Here is a 20,077-nt window from a genome sequence, read left to right on the forward strand (position 1 = left end):
TGGTGAGGGCTAAGGCTTGCATGACATGGTGTGACATGGCCGTAGGATGGAGCCATTTTGCAAAAATAATTCTGACCTGCCCGATGCTAAACGAACACTGAAGAAGCAATTGCGTTCCTGTCTCCAAGATCCTTTCAATATTGTACAAGAGACAAGAACCAAAACCAATGAACAGTACAAGTACTGCCTGTACAAATAGAAATGAGTCACAGAACACTGGCTGATGAGGTTGGGCTACGGATAGAGTACCATCCTTTCTGCCTCCTAAGCCTTTCTCTCACGGGTCCCTGCTCAGGTCCTATTATAGCGGGCTTTGCAGTAGCTTCTTCCTGTCCTCATCAGCCAGCCTAGTCCAGGCCATGGAAACACTTCCAAATGCAATTTTCTAATGAGTGCCCCTAAACACTTTCAGTGGCCCCAAGGCCTACAGAACTTGCAGAAAGCCCAAACGCCCCAGGCATCTACCTTGCCCTCCAGCCTTACTGCTCCTCTCCGGGCCTCATTCTCCGGAGTGCTTAGCTTCACTGTGTTTTTATTATTACTTTTTATTATACTTTAAGTTCTAGGGTACATGTGCACAACGTGCAGGTTTGTTACTTATGTATACATGTGCCGTGTTGGTGTGCTGCACCCATTAACTCGTCATTTACATTAGGTATATCTCCTAATGCTATCCCTCCCCCACGACAGGCCCTGGTGTGTGATGTTCCCTGCCCTGTGTCCAAGTGTTCTCATTGTTCAATTCCCACCTATGAGTGAGAACACGCCCTCTGTGTTTTTTCAACCCTCTTTAGTACTGTTCACTGTCTTCCCTCTTCCCCAAATCTCTTTCAACTAGGCGCAGGGGTCATAACCTGTAGGCTACCTTTTTAGAAGCGCACTCCGTTGGTTCTATCAGGACACGCAGTATGGCCTAACAGCTGGGAGCACAGCATCTGGAGCCATAGACACAGGGTACGATTCTGACTTGGCCACCTTAGCTATTTTATTTAAGCTGTGTTTTGGTTTATCTATGAAAAAGACAGTAGTCAGACCTGCATTCTCGATTGCTGAGATGATGTTTATTAGAACACTTCCTGGCATGCAGTGAGCATGCCATCACCACCAGCTGCTCACAACACTTACCATGGTGATCGATGCTCTTCGCTGGTGTCTCATTTGCCGACTTGAAGCTCTCTGAGGTTGGGACTGTCTTTGATGACCTGTGAAAGCTCAGGGCTAGTGGAGAGTCAGTGCTCACTACTGTGCCTGAGTGAACAGCTGAGAACCTTCTTGGAGGAGGTTCACATAAAAGCTCAGATGACAGAGGGAAAAGCACTCCAGGTAGTGATAATGCTCTCGTCCTAAGGACATGAGGAACCTGCTTGGGGGATGGATGACCCTCATGGGGAACAAGGAGGAAAAAGAGGCTAGCAAAGCCAGGGAGATGAGAGACACCTGAGATGGTCTCTCCAGGGCTGTGTGGAGAATCAGCAGCTAGGACTCTGGACGAAACAGTGTCAGGTAGGGAGGACGCCTGGTGACAGGCAGCCTAGGCAAAAAAGACAGTCATTTTTTTATTGGCTTTAGCAGCTGCTGTCCCAAACCCTCTCCCCTCAATAATAAAAGGCAATTTTATGATCACAAAGAGGCCACATTTTTTTTAATTGACAACTCAATCTCTACATACATACAGTGTTGCACGAATTATAAGTGGATCAACAATTATATTATTGATACAAACTCATGAGCATTTACATAAAACTACCGCTCTAGGTTTTGGTGTGTTTTGTGTCAGCTACTTTAGTGAATAAACGAAACATAAAGGAACTCAGCTACTTGAATTCATGAGAATCAGCTTTCAAAAAAAGCATATATATCATCTCATAGAATACTTATGTCAAACCCAGGAAAATCAGTAACTAAGTGACAAAAGGAACACTTTTAAAGAAAAGTTGGTGATAAATATGTTAGGCTAAAATACTAAGAACTTTAGCAACTGGACCGAGGAACCAGAAAATGTATGCACACTGGGAATTTTAACAAAAGATTACACATTCTCCTGTACAGTGAGGACCACATTCCAAAAGCATAATTCTGGGTTGCTACAATGTCATCTCTGCTACAAACCATTGTTTCAAAGGTGAAAGAAACAAGATGGTAATTGACATAAAAAGGTTTTAAAATTCTTCCCACTCAAAATAAAATAAAAATAATATAATCTCTATCAAATTATAAAGAAATTCTATCAAAATGTTGACCACATAAAGAAGTCAGACCATTTGCCTTCGCTGACTGCCTCAGAGGGCAGAGCATGTGTCACCTACAAGGGGAGAGGGGGGTAGAGTCCCTACTCTCCCCCGGCCTGTGGTGTCAGGGTGGACAGGAGCCCTTTGGCTTCCCTGGGGTTTTGCTTCCTCACATAGGGAATTGATGGAGGTGGGCTAGATGGCTTTAAGAGACTTCTCAACTAAAAGAATCAAAGTCAGCTTGAGAGCCCATCTCTGAACAGACATATAGGGTGGCAAAAGAAATGGATTAAAAAAAGGCGGATGACGTCTTTCTCACCTTTTGATACCATCACTCAGAACTAATCTGTACTATAGTTGAAGAAAATCTTTGCCTGGTACTATTAAAGAGTATGCAGTGAGGCAGCTGACAATGAAATTTTTCATAAAAATGTATAAAAAGGCTATGTTAAGTTTGGGTGGAAAAAACAATGCACCACCATATTACTACCAGCAGTCACGATGTCCTGTCTCAGATTTTAGGAGTCACCGATCTGGTTGGGAGAAATGCTGAGGGATGATCAAGCCATCAATAGCGATCTAAGGAGTGCACACAGTTCAGGAAATGGATAAACAGGTGCCCAGGAAGGCAACTTTAATGAAACTGGTTCTAAAACAAAGGATACAAGAGACCTAAATGATCCAAAAAGAGTGATGGCTTCTCATTTTCTGTCCCCTATAGAGAATATAAATATCATTTCTTCTGGAATCCAACACACTGGATTCATTTTCAAGATGTATCACTTTATTTTCCAGCACGTGACAGTCACATGATTTCTGCAGTGAGCCCCAAAGCTTCCACGAGCTTTCCTGGAACCTACGGCCAGAAGAGTCCTGAGATTTCAAATATTAAAGCTTTCTCCACAGCCACAAGTCCCTTTGATGTTTGGGTTATTGAACACAAACTCACTGGATAATTTGTCTTCAACATAGTCCATTTCTGTTCCTAAAAGTGTTAGCTGTGCTTTCTTTTCGATGAATACTCTGACTCCTTGGAGAAAAGAAAACATGTGTCATGGAAAGCCTGCAGCCTTATGGAACTTGCTGATTCAAAGCACAAGTGAACTTGAAATAGTGACTATCAATGAAAGTCAAACAAGAAGCCTTGAACATTTTAAATTATTTCCTTAAGGAATTAAGCATTCAGTTTCCTGTCTGCCCCTTCTTTCCCACACATGAATTTATGTCACAATCACATTAGGGGAGAATTTTATACAAGTAAATTCCATGACAATTTTATGCAAAATTAGAATTTACCTTTCACTATACTTCACTCATTTTTCCAGTTTGCAACATGAAGAAAATGTATATTCTCGATGAGTTTTATGAAATAAAAAAAAATTTATGAAAATTCTGCAATACACTAGATACACGGATTCAAGCTTAAAGATGTACAAAGGACTGTGATACAATGGGGCTATTTTAATAACATCAATCAGTACAACAATAGTCTTTTCTGGTTACAGGACGGAAAACAGGTACTATTCCCTAGTAATTACACAGGTAGAGGTCAGCATCTTTGTAAATACAATCTTTTTTTTTTTGGACAGAGTCTCACTCTGTCACCCCGGCTGGAGTGCAGTGGTATGATCATGGCTCACCACAAGCTCCACCTCCCAGGCTCAAGCGATCCTCCCACAGGATTACAGGCACATACCACCAGGACCAACTAATTTTTTTAGAGTCAGGGTTTCACCACGTGGCCCAAGCTGGTCTTGCATTCCTGGGCTCAAGTGATCCTCCCACCTCGGCCTCCCAAAGTGCTGGGATTACAGGTGTGAGCCACAGTGCCCAGCCAACAAATACAATCAATTTAAGAAAGCTTTCTAGTCTGGGAAACAGGGCAAAACCCTGGCTCCACTAAAAATACAAAAATTAGCCGGGCACAGTGGTGGGCACCTGTAGTCCCAGCTACTCGGGAGGCTGAGGTGGGAGGACTGCTTGAGCCCGGGAGACAGAGGCTACAGTGAACCATGATTGTGCCACTGCACTCCAGCCTGGGTAAGAGAGCAAGACTCTGTCTCAACAAACAAACAAAACAACGAAACAACAAAAAAACTTTCTTCCTTACAAGAAATTGAGCCATTAGCTAAATATAAACAATATATAATTAAGTCACCTCTTCTTTAAGATGAAAATCTTAAGGTTTATAATGTGTTATAATTTTTAAAATAATACATTTTTAAAAGGTCTTTATTGATAGTTATAACTTTAGTTTAATAAGAAAGCACACTTAGGAATCTAGGCCTCATTCTCCCATGTAGGTAAGAACTGCAAGCTAAGTGCATACTTCCAATGACAAGATAAATTATTTATTTTAGATAGGTTTTAACAGATTATAGGGTGGAAGAAGGGGGCAGCAGCAAATATAATTAATTTTAATTATAAATTAAATTATAATAAATAGCTTTGAATAAAAATTGGAAATACAGGATTCCTCAAAAACATGAGTTGATAATACAGCTCCACTAAAAATACAAAAATGAACCAGGCATGGTGGTGGGCGCCTATAATCCCAGCTACTTGGGAGGCTGAGGTGGGAGGATCGCTTGAACCAGGGAGGTGGAGGTTGCAGCAAGCCGAGATCACACCACTGCACTCCAGCCTGGGTGAGAGAGCGAGACCATCTCAAATTAAAAAAAAAAAAAAAAAAAGGATTATAATGGAGCTGAAAATTCCCATTGCCTAGCAATGCTGTAGCCACCATAATATCACAAGACAACCCATTACTCAGGTGTTTGTGGTGATGCTGGTGTAAACAAACCTATACTGCCAGTCATATAAAAGTCTAAGCATGTTCAATTATGTACACTACATAATACTTGATAATGATAATAAATGGTTATGTTACTGCTTTATGTATTTACTATACTTTTTATTGTTTAAAATTTTAGAGTGTACTTCTACTTATAAAAAAAAAAGTTAACCGTGAAACAGCCTGAGGCAGGTTCTTCAGGAGGTATCCAGAAGAAGGCATCATTATCACAGAAGATGACAACTCCATGAGTGTTACTGCCCCTGACGGCCTTCCAATGGGATGAGGGGAGGTGGTGGAAGACAGGGATATTGATGAACCTGACCCTGTGGAGGCCTAAGTTAATACGTGTGTTTTTGTCTTAGTTTTTAATTAAAATGTTTATAAAGAAAAAATTAAAAATAGAGAAAAGCTTATAGAATAAGAACGTAAAAAATTTTTGTTATTTGTACAATGTGTTTCAAAGCTAATGTTATCACAAAAGAGTCAAAAAAAAAAAAAAAAACCCCAAAGCTTACAAAGTAAAAAAGTTTCAGTAAACTAAGGTTAATTTATTATTGAAGACTAAGTGTACAAGGTTTATAAGGTCTATAGTACTACGGAGGAACGTCCTAGGCTTTCACATTCACTTATCACTCCCTACTCACTCACTGACTCACGCGGACAACTTCCAGTCCTGCAAGTTCCATGCATGGTAACTGCCACAAACAGGTGTACCATGTTTTATTTTCTTCTTCTTCTTCCTTTTTTTTTCTTTTTTTTAAGAGATGGAGGTCTCGCTATGTTGCCCAGGCTTAAGGGCAGTGGCTATTCACAGGTAAGAACACAGTGCACTATGATGTCTTTTTTTCTTTTTTGAGACAGAGTCTCACTTTTTCACCCAGGTTGGAGTGCAATGGCATGGTCTCGGCTCACTGCAACCTCCGCCTCCTGGGGTTCAAGCGATTCTCCTGCCTCAGCCTCCCAGTAGCTGGGACTACAGGCGTGTGCCACCACACCCAGTTAATTTTTTGTATTTTTAGTAGAGATGGGGTTTCACCATGTTGGCCAGGCTGGTCGTGAACTCCTGACCTCATGATCCACCCACCTCGGCCTCCCAAAGTGCTGGGATTACACAGGTGAGCCACCACGCCTGGCCAGTGCACTACATTCTTGAACTCCTACACTCAAGGAATCCTCCTGCCTCAGTCTCCTGAGTAGCTGGGACAACAGGCTTGTGTTAACACACCCGACCACATTTGATCTTTTACAAAATTTTCTTAAGCTGATAAGCAACTTCAGCAAAGTCTCAGGATACAAAATCAATGCACAAAAATCACAAGCATTCTTATACACCAATAACAGACAAACAGAGAGTCAAATCATGAGTGAACTCCCATTCACAATTGCTTCAAAGAGAATAAAATACTTAGGAATCCAACTTAAAAAGGACGTGAAGGACCTCTTCAAGGAGAACTACAAACCACTGCTCAATGAAATAAAAAAGGATACAAACAAATGGAAGAACATTCCATGCTCATGGGTAGGAAGAATCAATATCGTGAAAATGGCCATACTGCCCAAGGTAATTTATAGATTCAATGCCATCCCCATCAAGCTACCAATGACTTTCTTCACAGAATTGGAAAAAACTACTTTAAAGTTCATATGGAACCAAAAAAAAAACCCGCATCGCCAAGTCAATCCTAAGCCAAAAGAACAAAGCTGGAGGCATCACGCTACTTGACTTCAAACTATACTACAAGGCTACAGTAACCAAAACAGCATGGTACTGGTACCAAAACAGAGATATAGATCAATGGAACAGAACAGAGCCCTCAGAAATAACGCCGCATATCTACAACTATCTGATCTTTGACAAACCTGACAAAAACAAGCAATGGGGAAAGGATTCTCTATTTAATAAATGGTGCTGGGAAAACTGGCTAGCCATATGCAGAAAGCTGAAAGTGGATCCCTTCCTTACACCTTATACCAAAATTAATTCAAGATGGATTAAAGACTTAAACGTTAGACCTAAAACCATAAAAACCCTAGAAGAAAACCTAGGCATTACCATTCAGGACATAGGCATGGGAAAGGACTTCATGTCTAAAACACCAAAAGCAATGGCAACAGAAGCCAAAATTGACAAATGGGATCTAATTAAACTAAAGAGCTTCTGCACAGCAAAAGAAACTACCATCAGAGTGAACAGGCAACCTACAAAATGGGAGAAAATTTTCACAACCTACTCATCTGACAAAGGGCTAATATCCAGAATCTACAATGAACTCAAACAAATTTACAAGAAAAAAACAAACAACCCCATCAAAAAGTGGGCAAAGGACATGAACAGACACTTCTCAAAAGAAGACATTTATGCAGCCAAAAGACACATGAAAAAATGCTCGTCATCACTGGCCATCAGAGAAATGCAAATCAAAACCACAATGAGATACCATCTCACACCAGTTAGAATGGCAATCATTAAAAAGTCAGGAAACAACAGGTGCTGGAGAGGATGTGGAGAAATAGGAACACTTTTACACTGGTGGTGGGACTGTAAACTAGTTCAACCATTGTGGAAGTCAGTGTGGCGATTCCTCAGGGATCTAGAACTAGAAATACCATTTGACCCAGCCATCCCATTACTGGGTATATACCCAAAGGACTACAAATCATGCTGCTATAAAGACACATGCACACGTATGTTTACTGTGGCACTATTCACAATAGCAAAGACTTGGAACCAACCCAAATGTCCAACAGTGATAGACTGGATTAAGAAAATGTGGCACATATACACCATGGAATACTATGCAGCCATAAAAAATGATGAGTTCATGTCCTTTGTAGGGACATGGATGAAATTGGAAATCATCATTCTCAGTAAACTATCGCAAGGACAAAAAACCAAACACCACATGTTCTCACTCATAGATGGGAATTGAACAATGAGAACACATGGACACAGGAAGGGAACATCACACTCTGGGGACTGTTGTGGGGCGGGGGGAGGGGGGAGGGATAGCATTAGGAGATATACCTAATGCTAAATGATGAGTTAATGGGTGCAGCACACCAGCATGGCACATGTATACATATGTAACTAAGCTGCACATTGTGCACATGTACCCTAAAACTTAAAGTATAATAATAATAATAATAATAAAAGAAATTTCACTATACTTTTTCTTTGTTTAGGTACGTTTACACAAATACTTACCATTGTGTCAGAACTGTGCACAGTATTCAGCACAGTCACGTGCAGTACAGGTTTGTAGCCTAGGAGCAACAGGTTATATTATCTAGCTGAGGCATATGGTAGGCTCTACCATCTAGGTTTGTGTAAGTACACCCCAGGATATTTGTCCAATGTCACATTTCTCAGACCGTCTAGGTTTGTCTAAGTACACCCCAGGATATTTGTCTAACGTCACATTTCTCAGAATGTATCTCCAATGTTAAGTGATGTATGACTGTATCTGCATTATACTTACTGCTTGAGCATCCCAAATCCAAAAAGCTCCAATGAGCATTTCCTCTGAGTGTCATGTCAGCACCCACTTTTAAAGTTTTGAATTTGGGAGCATTTCAGATTTCAGATTTTTGGATTGGAATGCTCAACTCGTACTTATTTGACACAGATATAAAACTACTGCTTACACAAAAACTGTTGGTTCACTGTGAGGTTTAAGGCTGGTTCACTTTTTGGACACAACGATGATCTTTCATAGTTAAAACAAGCTTATATAATAATTTATCAATTAGTTACTAAGAGCAGTCTCTGGAAAGAATTTTACTAGGCCACTTATTATGACCTTAAACTATTTAACCCCTCTGTGCCTCAGTTTCTTCATCAGAAAAACAGGGATAATATGGTACCACCCACATTCAGCATTGTGTATAAATCAGTTAATACATGAAATTCCATCAAACAACACCTACACACACAGTGAGCATTATTTACATAATTCCTGCTACTATCCTTATTTTTTACTTTGTGCTGTGCAAGGCTAATAATTTTAGGCAAAACAATGTGCCCAAAAAATGTTTGTTAAAAACTCACCATCTTGAATAACTTCTTCATCAGAATCTCCTTTTGTCTTTGTATATTCTAGAGTATAAGAAAGGCCATTACAGCCCCTGGTTCGGACACCAACTTTTACACCTACCTGAAAAAGAAGTGAAAATATAAACTTGGTTTTAAAGTAGTACAGATTAAACAATTATACTAATAAAGTGACAGTAGCCTCCTCGTACCAAAATGGACTTTCTCTTATTTTTTGTAGGACAGGGTCTCACTATGTAGCCCAGACTGGTCTCAAACTCGTGGACTCAAATAACGCTTCCACCTCGGCCTCTCAAAGCATTGGGATTACAAGGCAGGAGCCACCCCGTCCAGCCTGGGACTTTATTTAAAATGTCTTTGCTCTACCTTGTTCTGTGAGATATCCTCTGAATGTTTCCTTATGGTTAGGATTCACCAGGGTTCATAGTCCACCATCTGGCAATCCTACCTCTACATGGGATCTGAATTATAGTGCAGACTTGTGTACAGTCTCAAATACCAGAAAGCAAAAGACTGCAGTCAATACAGACAAAAGAAGTTTAAAAAAGTGACCAAACAGCACTTTAAAAGTATCAATGTTTACATTAATGCAATTTTCAAACAGTATCTACCTAAGTTCTCTGTCTTAGAGCTGAGCTGATTTTTCATTTAAATACAGTCATCCCTTAGTATGCATGGGAAATTGGTTCCAGGACTAACTGAGTATACAAAAATCTGCAGATACTCAAGTCCCTTATGCAAATGGCACTGCATTTGTATATAACCTATATACATCTTCCCCTGTACTTTAAATAACTTCTGGAGGACTTGAATACCTGTAACAATGTAATGCTACATAAACAGTTGTTATACTGTATTGTTTAGAGAATGAAAGTCTGTACATGTTTAATACAGATGCAACCTTCTATTTTTTTCCCAAATATTTCTGACCTATGGTTGATTGAATCCACGTATGCGGAACCCACAGATACGGAGAGGTGACTGTATACAGCAAAAGTATCATAAGTACTATTTCACCAGCAGTTCCTGATTCTACAAAGCCGAATTCTTGTTTCATTAGGCCAATTTGTAGTCTACTCATCGGTCTATCCAAATTGAATCAGAACACTGATATCCTTTGAAATTTAATAATTTTAAAAGGTAGGTTTGAGAACTTCCATTACATTGTAATGTAGTAGGTTAACAACAGAAACCAGAAATCACCCCACCGTCTAATTATTAAATATTGCAATCCATTACTTGAAATGATTTACAGCATTCCATCGGCAACTAACAATGTACAATTAAGATGATACACACATCCCTAACTCAACAATTCTGTATCTAGGAATGGATCCTATGTAGGTGGACTAAGCCATGCTTACAGTTCTAGAACAATGAGCCTGGCACACTGCAGACACTAAATAGTTGCTGAATGGTGTTTGCGGCAGCACTGAATGAAAACGACCCTTTAATATGGGGACTGGTTAAAGAACTCAAACTTGTTCAATGGAATATACTCTACATGCAGCCAAGAAAGGGAGGCAGATCATTACATAATGACATGGAAAGATCTTCAAGCCATTATTAAGGGTAAAAAGCAAAGTGTAACAAAAAAATTTATGGTAGGAAGAGATATACACAGGAATAACAAGCCCAGTCTAGGCCAGTGGTTGCCCTCAGGGAGACATTTTTGGTTGTGACAACCAAAGCTTTGTGGAATCAGGAACTGCTGGTGAAATAGTACTCACCATACTTTTACTCTATACAGTCACCTCTCCGTATCGGTGGGTTCCACATATGTGGATTCTTTGGTTGAGGCAAAGAGGGGGTACTACTGGTATCTAATGGACAGAGGCCACAGATGCTGTCAAACATTCTACAATCTGCCCTAAAGTGTCAACTGTGAGGAGGCTGAGAAAATCAGGTCTAGCCGCTTCAAATGTATACATTATCCCTGGAAGGATACCAAAGAGATTGCTTCTTGGAAGGAAGAATGACGACGAAGAGTCAGGTTGAAAGAATGACTTCCTTTTAGTTAAATACCCTTTTGTATTATTTGAATTTTTTAAAAATCCTGAGTATATTTTACATTTTAAATAAAAACCCCTAAATGAAATAATACTGTATATCATGGGATAAATTCATTCTGAAAATGCAGCTTCAGTTTTTTACTGAATAATTAACTGGTTTTACTTACATGCTCAGGCTTATCTTTAAGAAGTTGTTTTATCTTGTTTACTGCTGAAGGTGTCTGAAAAAAGAAAATGATGTTTTTAGCTACAAAACTTGTTATTCAAAGCCTCATATTTATCAGTCTTCGTAAGTCTGTCTTTAGCAAATTCATGTGACAAATTTATGTTCCATTCTTGCCAGGGTACCTTATGGACTTTATATAGAAACACATAAACTATACCTAATTCAAAATATCCTCTTTATTTAAAAAAAAAATCTGCTAGCAACATCCTTTTAATCTTGCTCCTCAGTCCAGGTTGGTTCCCTGTCCTTCTCTCTATGGTGCTATTCACTCACATTACAAATGCTATTTTTCTGGGCAGCATCTATTTTGTGCACCAACTCTATGCCCAGGAACCAGCATGTTGCCTACGACAAAGAGCCAATGAAGGAATCAAGTATCTCACTGGGAAGGCCAACCTTCAGGTGTTTTTCCTGTTGATTATTAATCCTACTGCTTTTTTTTTTCTTACTCACAATCCATTTCTAATCCATCAAAATGCATAGCTTGAGGAAACAGTGTTACCAGCATAAAATAACCCAGGGTGTGCTTCTTGCACCAGTCCCACCAAATGCTCACATAGATTTTTTTCAACGTGGATTAAACCAACATCTCAGGAGATCTAGATGAACAAAACTAAGCTAGTCAATGACAGAAATAAGAACAAGGAGGAGCTGTTTCCCAGAGAAATGCTGTTTTAACATAGCTCAGCGGGCCTCAAAATGAGAAAAACATCACAGTTTGTGTGAAATAGGTCGGTGTTGCCAACCCCACTTCTTTGGGAAGGAGACTGTTCCCCGACATTCCTGGCCCACTTCCTAGCTGTGCCTCCAGGGCAGTCACCCTAAGTGGCTTCTCTGACTTCTATTCCCTTACTGGTGAAACAGGGATAACAGTTCCTCCTCCTCCTGATTCTTGTGAGGATTAAATATTTAAACTCATGGAAAGCATTCAGGACAGTGCCAGGCACAAAAATACCAAGTATTATTATGATTATGAGAGTACATCATAATGAAGACATTATGTGCGTCCTTCCTACTTTATCAGCTCCTCTAGCTGGCAGTGCTCTGCAGGCCCTCCAGTCCCTTGTACTGACATTTTACTGTACAGTAAAGTCTTTGAGACTGCTTGTGAAGTCTCAAAGTCTGGATATTACGACCTAAGACTTGGTAGTAAACTGAGGCCAGGACTGACACCTGGAAGAGCCAGCCCAATGGATGGCCCTAGAGTGTGCTCTCCTGCCCTGTCGGGGTTGGGGCTCAGCTAGATGAGCATGCTTAAACACAGTACAGACCCAGTTTAGAAGGGCATGAAAGCAATTTGGAATGTGAAGACCAACATGTCTTAAACATTTTAAATAGAAAACAATGCACTGCACTTAAAAACGTGAATGTTGTTTAGTAAAACTTTTAATTCAGTTATTAATATATAGTATCTGTGTATATACATTTCTTATTACATGTCACTGTAAAAAAACAAACCACTACCAGTAGGTGGGCCTCTAAAGGCCCATGGTTTCCCATGGTTCTGTCAGAAAAGGAGGCATGCAGTCCTCCAACGCAGGAAGTAGCACACAGGGTGGAAGGAGAAAACAGGGAAGAGCAGGATTATGGTTTTGTTTTTGTTTTTTGAGTCACAGAATACCAACTTTAAATAGTTACAGAAATAGTTATTATTTTTTAAAGTGCTCATTACCCTTCTAAAGCAGTGGTCCCAAATGTTTTTGGCATCAAGGACTGGTTTCGTGGAAGACAATTTTTCCACGGATAAGGGGAATGGTTTCTGAATGATTCAAATGCATTACATTTATTGTGCACTTTATTTCTATTATTACATTGTAATATATAATGAAATAATTATATAACTCATCAAAATATACAATCAGTGGGAGCCCTGAGCTTGTTTTTCTGCAACTAGATGGCCCCATCTAGGGGTGATGAGAGACAGTGACAGATCATCAGGCATCATTCTCATAAGGAGTGCACAAACTAGCCCCTCACACCTGCAGTTCAGACTAGGGTTTGTGCTCCTATGAGAATCTAATGCCCCTGATGATCTGACAGGAGGTGGAGCTCGCTTAGGTGGTAATGCTTGGCTTGCCTGCTGCTCTCACCTCCTGCTGTGAGGCCCTGTTCCTAACAGGCCATGGACCAGTACCAGTCTGTAGCGCAGGGACTGGGGACCCCTGTTCTAAGTGATTGTCAATAAAAGCTAGCTTTCTTATCAACCACATGTAAATTTTCACCATATTTTCCTATGTGCATGCTGAAGAAATTAATCACTTACTGTCAAATAAAAATAGCTTTCTGTAAGTTTATTTTAAAAAGGCATAGCCTGGCTGGGCCTGGTGCCTCATGCCTATATTCCCAACACTTTGGGAGGCCGAGGTGGAAGTATCACTTGAGGTCAGCCAAGGTGGAAGGATCACTTGAAGTCAGGAGTTTGAGACCAGCCTGGCCAACATGGTGAAACCCCGTCTCTATTAAAAATACAAACATTAGCTGAGGATGATGGCATGCGCCTGTAATCCCAGCTACTCCGGAGGCTGACGCATGAGAATCGCTTGAACCCAGGAGGCGGAGGCTGCAGTAAGCCGAGATCATGCCACTGCACTCCAGCCTGGGAAACAGAGTGAGACTCTGTCTCAAAAAAAAAAAAAAAAAAAAAAAAAAGGCATAGCCATGGAAAATATCCGCGGGAACTAAAATCTGAAACGTGGTCTTGGTTTAATCTGAGTGGATCAAAGGCACAGATGGGCACACCACTGCATGATCTAAACAAAACAAATGTGTCTGTCACACTACTCCGTTTACCAGCCCCAAATATATAATTTTTTTTATCTCCAAGTGGTTTTCTAAATTATCTAATTTGGTTTTACAAAGTCATCTATTTTCTTATTTTCTCAACTTTTAGCAGGAAACACTTAAATACAGTAAATGAAAGCAATTCGTGGGGATTGGTCTACTTATCACCAAGTTGCTGATGTTCACATCTCATACTGAAGGACTCTTTAAGGGAAAAGTAACATTCAACAGGAACCTGTGTGCCTGGGAAGCTGCTGTTACAGGAACTAAAATATGTCTTAATTTTCCTGTGCCAGGCCAAAACCAAACCTACTCCACTGGGAGGGTGTTACTAATGATGGACAACCCAGGTCAGTACTCAACCAAGGGAAAAGGTTCTTAGAACTTTCAAAGTGACTGATCTGATTTTCAGAACAAGGGAGAGTGGTTAAAAGGGAAGAGTTGGGACTTAAAAAAAATCGAGCTATAAGAGGTACTTTTTGTGTCTCAGTACCAGGGAGAGGCTAAGAATCCTACCCTGCTTTAAGTCTACATACTCTGGCAACTTTGTGCTTAGGTAAAATTCATGTGAGAAACAGCATAAAATCTTCAACTACACAGCATGCTGCAGGGCCTAGCAGCCTGCCAGTACCAGTGCACTTCCCAGAACAACTAAGAAACATGTAATTCTCAAGAAATTTATGTACTATTAATGAATATAGCTTACCTGAGATTTGGCCCATGTTTTAAAATTTAAGAGCTTCCTGAAGCCCACTAAAATATGATGGTTTTTACTCACATGCAAATCACAGGAATATGACTTTTAAAGTGAGAGGTTATCTTTGAGGTAAGGTATTTTGGCCTAATTGAAAAATAAATATATTTCCAAGATGTTTCCGCTGTTAAAATTAAGGGAAAAGGCATTGTAGATGAATGTTTTATCACTACTTCATAGCAACACGCTTTCTAATCCTTGTAGGAGAAACTTTTCATTCTCAATCCTGTATTTCTTTAAGTAACTCCCCAGGCAATTTTCATTTTTTGCTGTTTAAGAAAATTAAATTAAATTCAAAGCTAAAGTTAACTCTGTGATTATGCATACTAAACATGTGCCAACAACTACAACTTAATTTCTCTACAAACATGGCATTTTAATGTCAACATATCAATTTTCTGGGGGAACAAAAGATGGTAAATAAATAGAGCCAGTGAACAAGTACAGTGTATTTTATTAAAATCATTCTTTAACAGCCATGGCTGGCATTAGAGTGTCAAAATAAGAAAAGACAAAAGCATTCTCTTTTGTCTTTTCTTATTTGTGTATATGTGTATATACACATCCAAAATACATATAATATACAAATATATATTTGTAGGCCAGGTGTGGTGGCTCATGCCTGTAATGCCAGCACTTTGGGAGGCCAAGGTGGGAGGACGGCTTGAGGCCAGGAGTTTGAGACCAGCCTGTGCAACAGAGCAAGACCCTGTCTCTACAATAAATTAAAAAAAAAAAATTAGCAGTCAAGGTGACATGTGCCTGTAGTCCCAGTTACTTGGGAGGCTGAGGTGAAAGGATTGCTTGAGCCCAGGAGTTTGAAGCTGCAGTAAGCCATGATCATGCCACTGCATATGAGCCTGGGTGACAGAGGAAGATCCTGTCTCTAAAAAGAAAAAGGTTTGTAATCATGGCATATATACATAATTTTGCAGCCTCCATTGAAACAATTTAACAAATTATTTTTTCATTTGATACATGGTAATAAACATATATTCACCATTTACTGAGCACCTTCTAAGTGTTTAATGGTTTAAACGTAACATCTTTTTATTCCTGCCATTGTGATTTAGGTATTAAAGATTAAATAATTTGCACAGCATAAGTCAAAGAATGAAGATTTATAACGCTGAAACTTAAAAAAAACCATAATTTACAATGACTACATCCTTCACCAACAGGATCTACTCTCACGTACTTAACCGTTCTTTCACTGTTAGACTGCTAGGCTACTTCCAGTGCTTCTTGTGTAGTATTTCCTAAACTGCCTTCGTATAGAAATCTTAGTGCTTGGTCACTGTTCAAAAGGACTTCTGGTTCTAGTCCAATGAACTAACACACAGTTCCTTACTGAGCATTAAGCATTTCCTAGCTTCTCAACTGGACTCCAATAGAAAGTTAAGCCCTAAGGCACCTTCCGTACACAATGAATTCATCAAGAATGATAGTGGCTGTGCACCATCATTCTCTCATAGAACTTGGTTGAGTTTTAATGCACAGCTGTGATCCACCCCAGTCCTACAAATTAGAGTTGCTCTGACTTGTACAATGATGGAAATAAATCTGTCTGCAAGCAGGGCACTATTTACTCTTCAGATTCTTTAATCACATCTGGCTCCTGCAAGTTCAATTCCACTTGTCAATTTCTAGATATGTAGGGAAATAGGGAAGATGTAGATAATCTGATAATGACAGCATTGAACTGTGTTATATTATCAGTTACTTTTCCTAGCCTTTTGTTGACATCTGGTAGACTCCACACATATAGCACTTTTCAAATGTTGCAACATGTCAAATTCCTAACATCAAAATTTATATATCCAGGTAACATTTATCCCTTCCAATCAGTTTTACTGAATTAGGTATACTTGTGTTTGCTCTTATCTGTCTCTACTTATTAGACCCAAGTAACATTTACCTCTTCCAATCAGTTTTACTGAATTACGTATACTTTTGTTTGCTCTCTTATCTGTCTCCATTCATTAGGCCTTTGACGGCATCACTACTTTTGCACTTGACGATACATGCTGATGATAAACTAAGCACAAAGAGCAATACATGCCATAGTGTCCTGACTAGGGCACGAATGCTGGAACTAAAATGACTGCAAGCCCACCAACACAGGCTGTGTGGAAAACAGCATTGATGTGCCTTCTCTCTGGTACAGCTTCTGAGAAGCTTCTAAAGTCAGCCATACTTAAGTAGGACAACAGAGTACAGACAGTAGACTCCTGCAAGTTAATCAAAACAGCTGAGTCAGGCAACATGGATACCTTGAGAACTGCTATGATAACATGTACTGAAGCAGAGGGGAGCAAGTGTGGAGAGAGACCAAGCCTGAGAATGTGCAGTGCTATTACTCCTAGTAAGAGGTGGCAAAGGCTTGGCCTGCGACTGTGCCCCGTAGGCTGGGAACTGTATAACTCATTCATTTGTCTTGAAACACAGCAGATCTTGATAAATGTCTGCTGAATGACTAGGAATGGAGAGAAAGGGACTGACATAGAAATTCTGAAGGAAGGGCAAGGCACGGTGGCTCATGCCTGTGATCCCAGCACTTTGGGAGGCTGAGACGAGTGGATCACGAGGTCAGGAGTCCAAGACCAGCCTGGTGAAGATGGTGAAACCCCATCTCTACTAAAAATACAAAAATAAATAAATAAATAAGCTGGGCATGGTGGTGGGCGTCTGTAATCCCAGCTACTCAGGAGGCTGAGGCAGAGAGTTGCTTGAACTCAGTAGGCAGAGGCTGCAGTGAGCTGAGATCACGCCACTGCACTCCAGCCTGGGCAACCCAGCGAAACCCTGTCTCAAAAAAAAAAAAAAAAAAAAGAAATTCTGAAGGAAGAGGTAACATGTCAAATGGTGATGGAGAAAGACATCAGGGACCAGGCATGGTGGCTCACACCTGTAATCCCTGCACACTGGGAGCCTGAGGCAGTGGACTGCTTGAGCCCAGGAGTTCGAGACCAGCCTGGGCAACCCAGGGAGACCCTAGGTGCATGCATGACGGTGCACACCGGTGGTCCCAGCGACTTGGGAGCCTGAGGTGGGAGGATCGCTTGGGCCCAGGAGGTTGACGCTGCAGTGTGCCATGATTGCACCACTGAACTACAGCCTGGGAGATAGAGTGAGACCCTGTCTCCAAAAACAAAACAAACAAAAACAAACAAACAAACAAAAAACAAAAAACAAAAAACCCAGTTAATAGGGTTGCTAAAAAGCAAAAAAGAAAAGGCAAAAACTGTTCCTGAACCTTCTGGCTCTTCCTGGATCTACCATTACCAGTGGAAGAATTCTGAATAATTCTTACTGAGATTGAAAGAGACACAAAGAATGAGTTGTGCCCTCTAGTTCTTAAAACCTTGTTTAATTCTACATCCCACGGTGTATGAAAATAAGCTTGCTCCTACAGAAAAGAGGTAATATAGAATGATACATAATCAGTACACTAGTAGTACCATATATAATCAGGGTAATATCAAAGGCCTAAAAAATTGATTATAAAAATAAATTCTCTCACCTGATCACAATTTTCTTCTACTTTGCTACAAACTTATTTTCTGGTAATAGGCCCTTTTGGCATTAGATGCAACAGAATCGATGAGTCAATTTAAATCGTTTTTTTTCCCAGTCTCTAAGCGAATGGTTGCATAAAGTCGTCTCCTTCACTAAAAGGGGAGTGTATGTAGGAACGTGATCATAAATTTTTCTTTTGGGGTGAAAGTATTTTGGAACTAGATAGAGGTGATGGTTGCACGACACTGTGAATGTCTTAAATGGCACTGAATTGTACCCTTTAAAAGGACTAATTTTATGTTATGTGGATTTTCCTTCCACTAAAAAACTGAACGGTGCGGCCGGAACACTGAGCTCAGTGAATTCTCTAAGTAATCAATGGTTGCACTCTGGTGCCCTCTGAGTGTTTGACCTTTCACCCAGAAAAGGCTGTAAACTCACTCTGGGAAATCATCTTTTGTCCTAAGAGCCTAGGCTTGCTAGAGGCACAGAGGGAGTTTCAAAGGCCTCAATCACCCAGGACACCGGCAAGTAACGCTTTGCGCGCCGCGGCCGTGACCTCGGCAGGAGCCGGGGGCTTTGTTGTCGCTGTGCTCGCCCTCTGCGAACGCTGTCGCCCCGACACAGCGGTCCTTCGGACAGCCTGGTCCCTCCCCACCCCACGCACCTCCAGGCTAGGACTCCGGGCCACCACCGGGAACCCCCGCCACCGGGCACGTTCAGCCTCTGCTTAACCGGAACGGCCGAACAGCGCAGGCCGGCAGGAGTGTGGAGGCGATCGGCCCCCGGGGACGCCCACCCCCGGGATCCCCTCCGGCCCGCACGCGGTTGCCGCGCGGCCTGACGGGAAACGTAGTTTCCGGGGCCAAGAGAGCAGCCCCGCCCGGGACTTGTTTATCGTTGCAAAGAGGGGCCGGAGGCGAAGGAGGCGGCGAGGCTGTGCGGCGGGTCGGAGCGACGCCGAGGTCTGACGTGTCCGCGTCCCTGCGGCCCCACTCCCGGCCGCCGTGACCTCCCCTTGCACGGGGCGGACACGAGCAATGTCACGGGCCCCGCCGCGCGCCGCGAGCACTCACCAGGGTGAGGGCTGCCCGGGTGGGCTGCAGCTTCCTCTTGCTCACAGCCCGGACAGTTGCCCGGACTAAGGAAGCCGACATCTTCGCCGTCCCGGCGCCCCGGTGCCTCGGGCCGAAGGTCGGCCGCCTCAGCTTCTCTCCATGGACACGGCGGGCGCATTGACGCCACAAGCTTCGGCGCACGGCGCCCTCAGTCCTAGCCCCGCCCCCCGCCGCCACCATTGGGTGAGTTGCATGAGTGACGAGCCGGGGGCGGGGCAAGCCGCTCGGGGCGGGGTTTTGCCGCTCAACGCCGGGGGTCTAGCAGCTGGGTTGCGCACGGTCTCCGGCAGTGGGGTTACCACGCTGCAGGGCGCAGGGCCCGGGAGGAATGTCTTCACCGCCGAGGACGGAGTCGGCGTGACGTCGGGGAGCGGGCGGGAGGGGGCGAGGAATGACCTCAGACCTGCTGACTCCGGATGCACGTAGCTTCACCACCTGCCCCCGGGGCAAGGTGCAGCGTCACCCCCTGCTTTAATACTCACCGTGACAAACACCATCATAGGCGGTGACACTTAAGGACGCATAAGTCAACCCTGCACTGGGAGCTTATGCTCTCAAATGCAGAGTGATCGTTCCGATGCCCAGACATCT

General features: G+C 41.9%; 1 protein-coding gene and 1 long non-coding RNA gene across 2 annotated transcripts, besides 3 other annotated features; both read right to left on the bottom strand.

Annotated features, from left to right (window-relative positions):
• Nucleotides 1-1,612: 1,612 nt before the first annotated feature.
• On the bottom strand, nucleotides 1,613-19,605 carry ISCA1 (iron-sulfur cluster assembly 1). The gene is made up of 4 exons (NM_030940.4): nucleotides 19,445-19,605; nucleotides 11,256-11,309; nucleotides 9,074-9,179; nucleotides 1,613-3,258 (listed from the first exon to the last, which is right to left on the bottom strand). The coding sequence occupies exons 1-4, from the start codon at nucleotides 19,523-19,525 to the stop codon at nucleotides 3,110-3,112; spliced, it is 390 nt and encodes a 129-aa protein (NP_112202.2). The 5' UTR covers nucleotides 19,526-19,605; the 3' UTR covers nucleotides 1,613-3,109.
• Nucleotides 15,284-19,148, bottom strand: LOC124902194 (uncharacterized). Its single transcript, XR_007061634.1, has 2 exons — nucleotides 19,036-19,148; nucleotides 15,284-18,520 (listed from the first exon to the last, which is right to left on the bottom strand). It is a non-coding gene; the product is annotated as an uncharacterized LOC124902194 (long non-coding RNA).
• Nucleotides 18,986-19,285: a silencer, noted in NCBI's record as "silent region_19996". NCBI's record gives its function as "represses an Ori minimal core promoter by ATAC-STARR-seq in GM12878 lymphoblastoid cells {active_cell/tissue: GM12878}" and the evidence as "EXISTENCE:reporter gene assay evidence [ECO:0000049][PMID:35858748]".
• Nucleotides 19,456-19,605: an enhancer, noted in NCBI's record as "active region_28514". NCBI's record gives its function as "activates an Ori minimal core promoter by ATAC-STARR-seq in GM12878 lymphoblastoid cells {active_cell/tissue: GM12878}" and the evidence as "EXISTENCE:reporter gene assay evidence [ECO:0000049][PMID:35858748]".
• Nucleotides 19,726-20,005: an enhancer, noted in NCBI's record as "active region_28515". NCBI's record gives its function as "activates an Ori minimal core promoter by ATAC-STARR-seq in GM12878 lymphoblastoid cells {active_cell/tissue: GM12878}" and the evidence as "EXISTENCE:reporter gene assay evidence [ECO:0000049][PMID:35858748]".

Source organism: Homo sapiens, chromosome 9, assembly GCF_000001405.40.
Source record: "Homo sapiens chromosome 9, GRCh38.p14 Primary Assembly".
NCBI classification, from domain to species: Eukaryota; Metazoa; Chordata; class Mammalia; order Primates; family Hominidae; genus Homo; species Homo sapiens.

Coding starts and splice junctions, on each gene's coding strand:
- ISCA1 (NM_030940.4), bottom strand. CDS start 19,525: ATGTCGGCTTCCTTAGTCCGGGCAACTGTCCGGGCTGTGAGCAAGAGG. Junction 11,310..19,444: donor CCCGGGCAGCCCTCACCCTG/GTGAGTGCTCGC, acceptor TTCTTTTTTCAG/ACACCTTCAGCAGTAAACAA. Junction 3,259..9,073: donor TGAAGAAGTTATTCAAGATG/GTGAGTTTTTAA, acceptor CTTTTCTCCAAG/GAGTCAGAGTATTCATCGAA.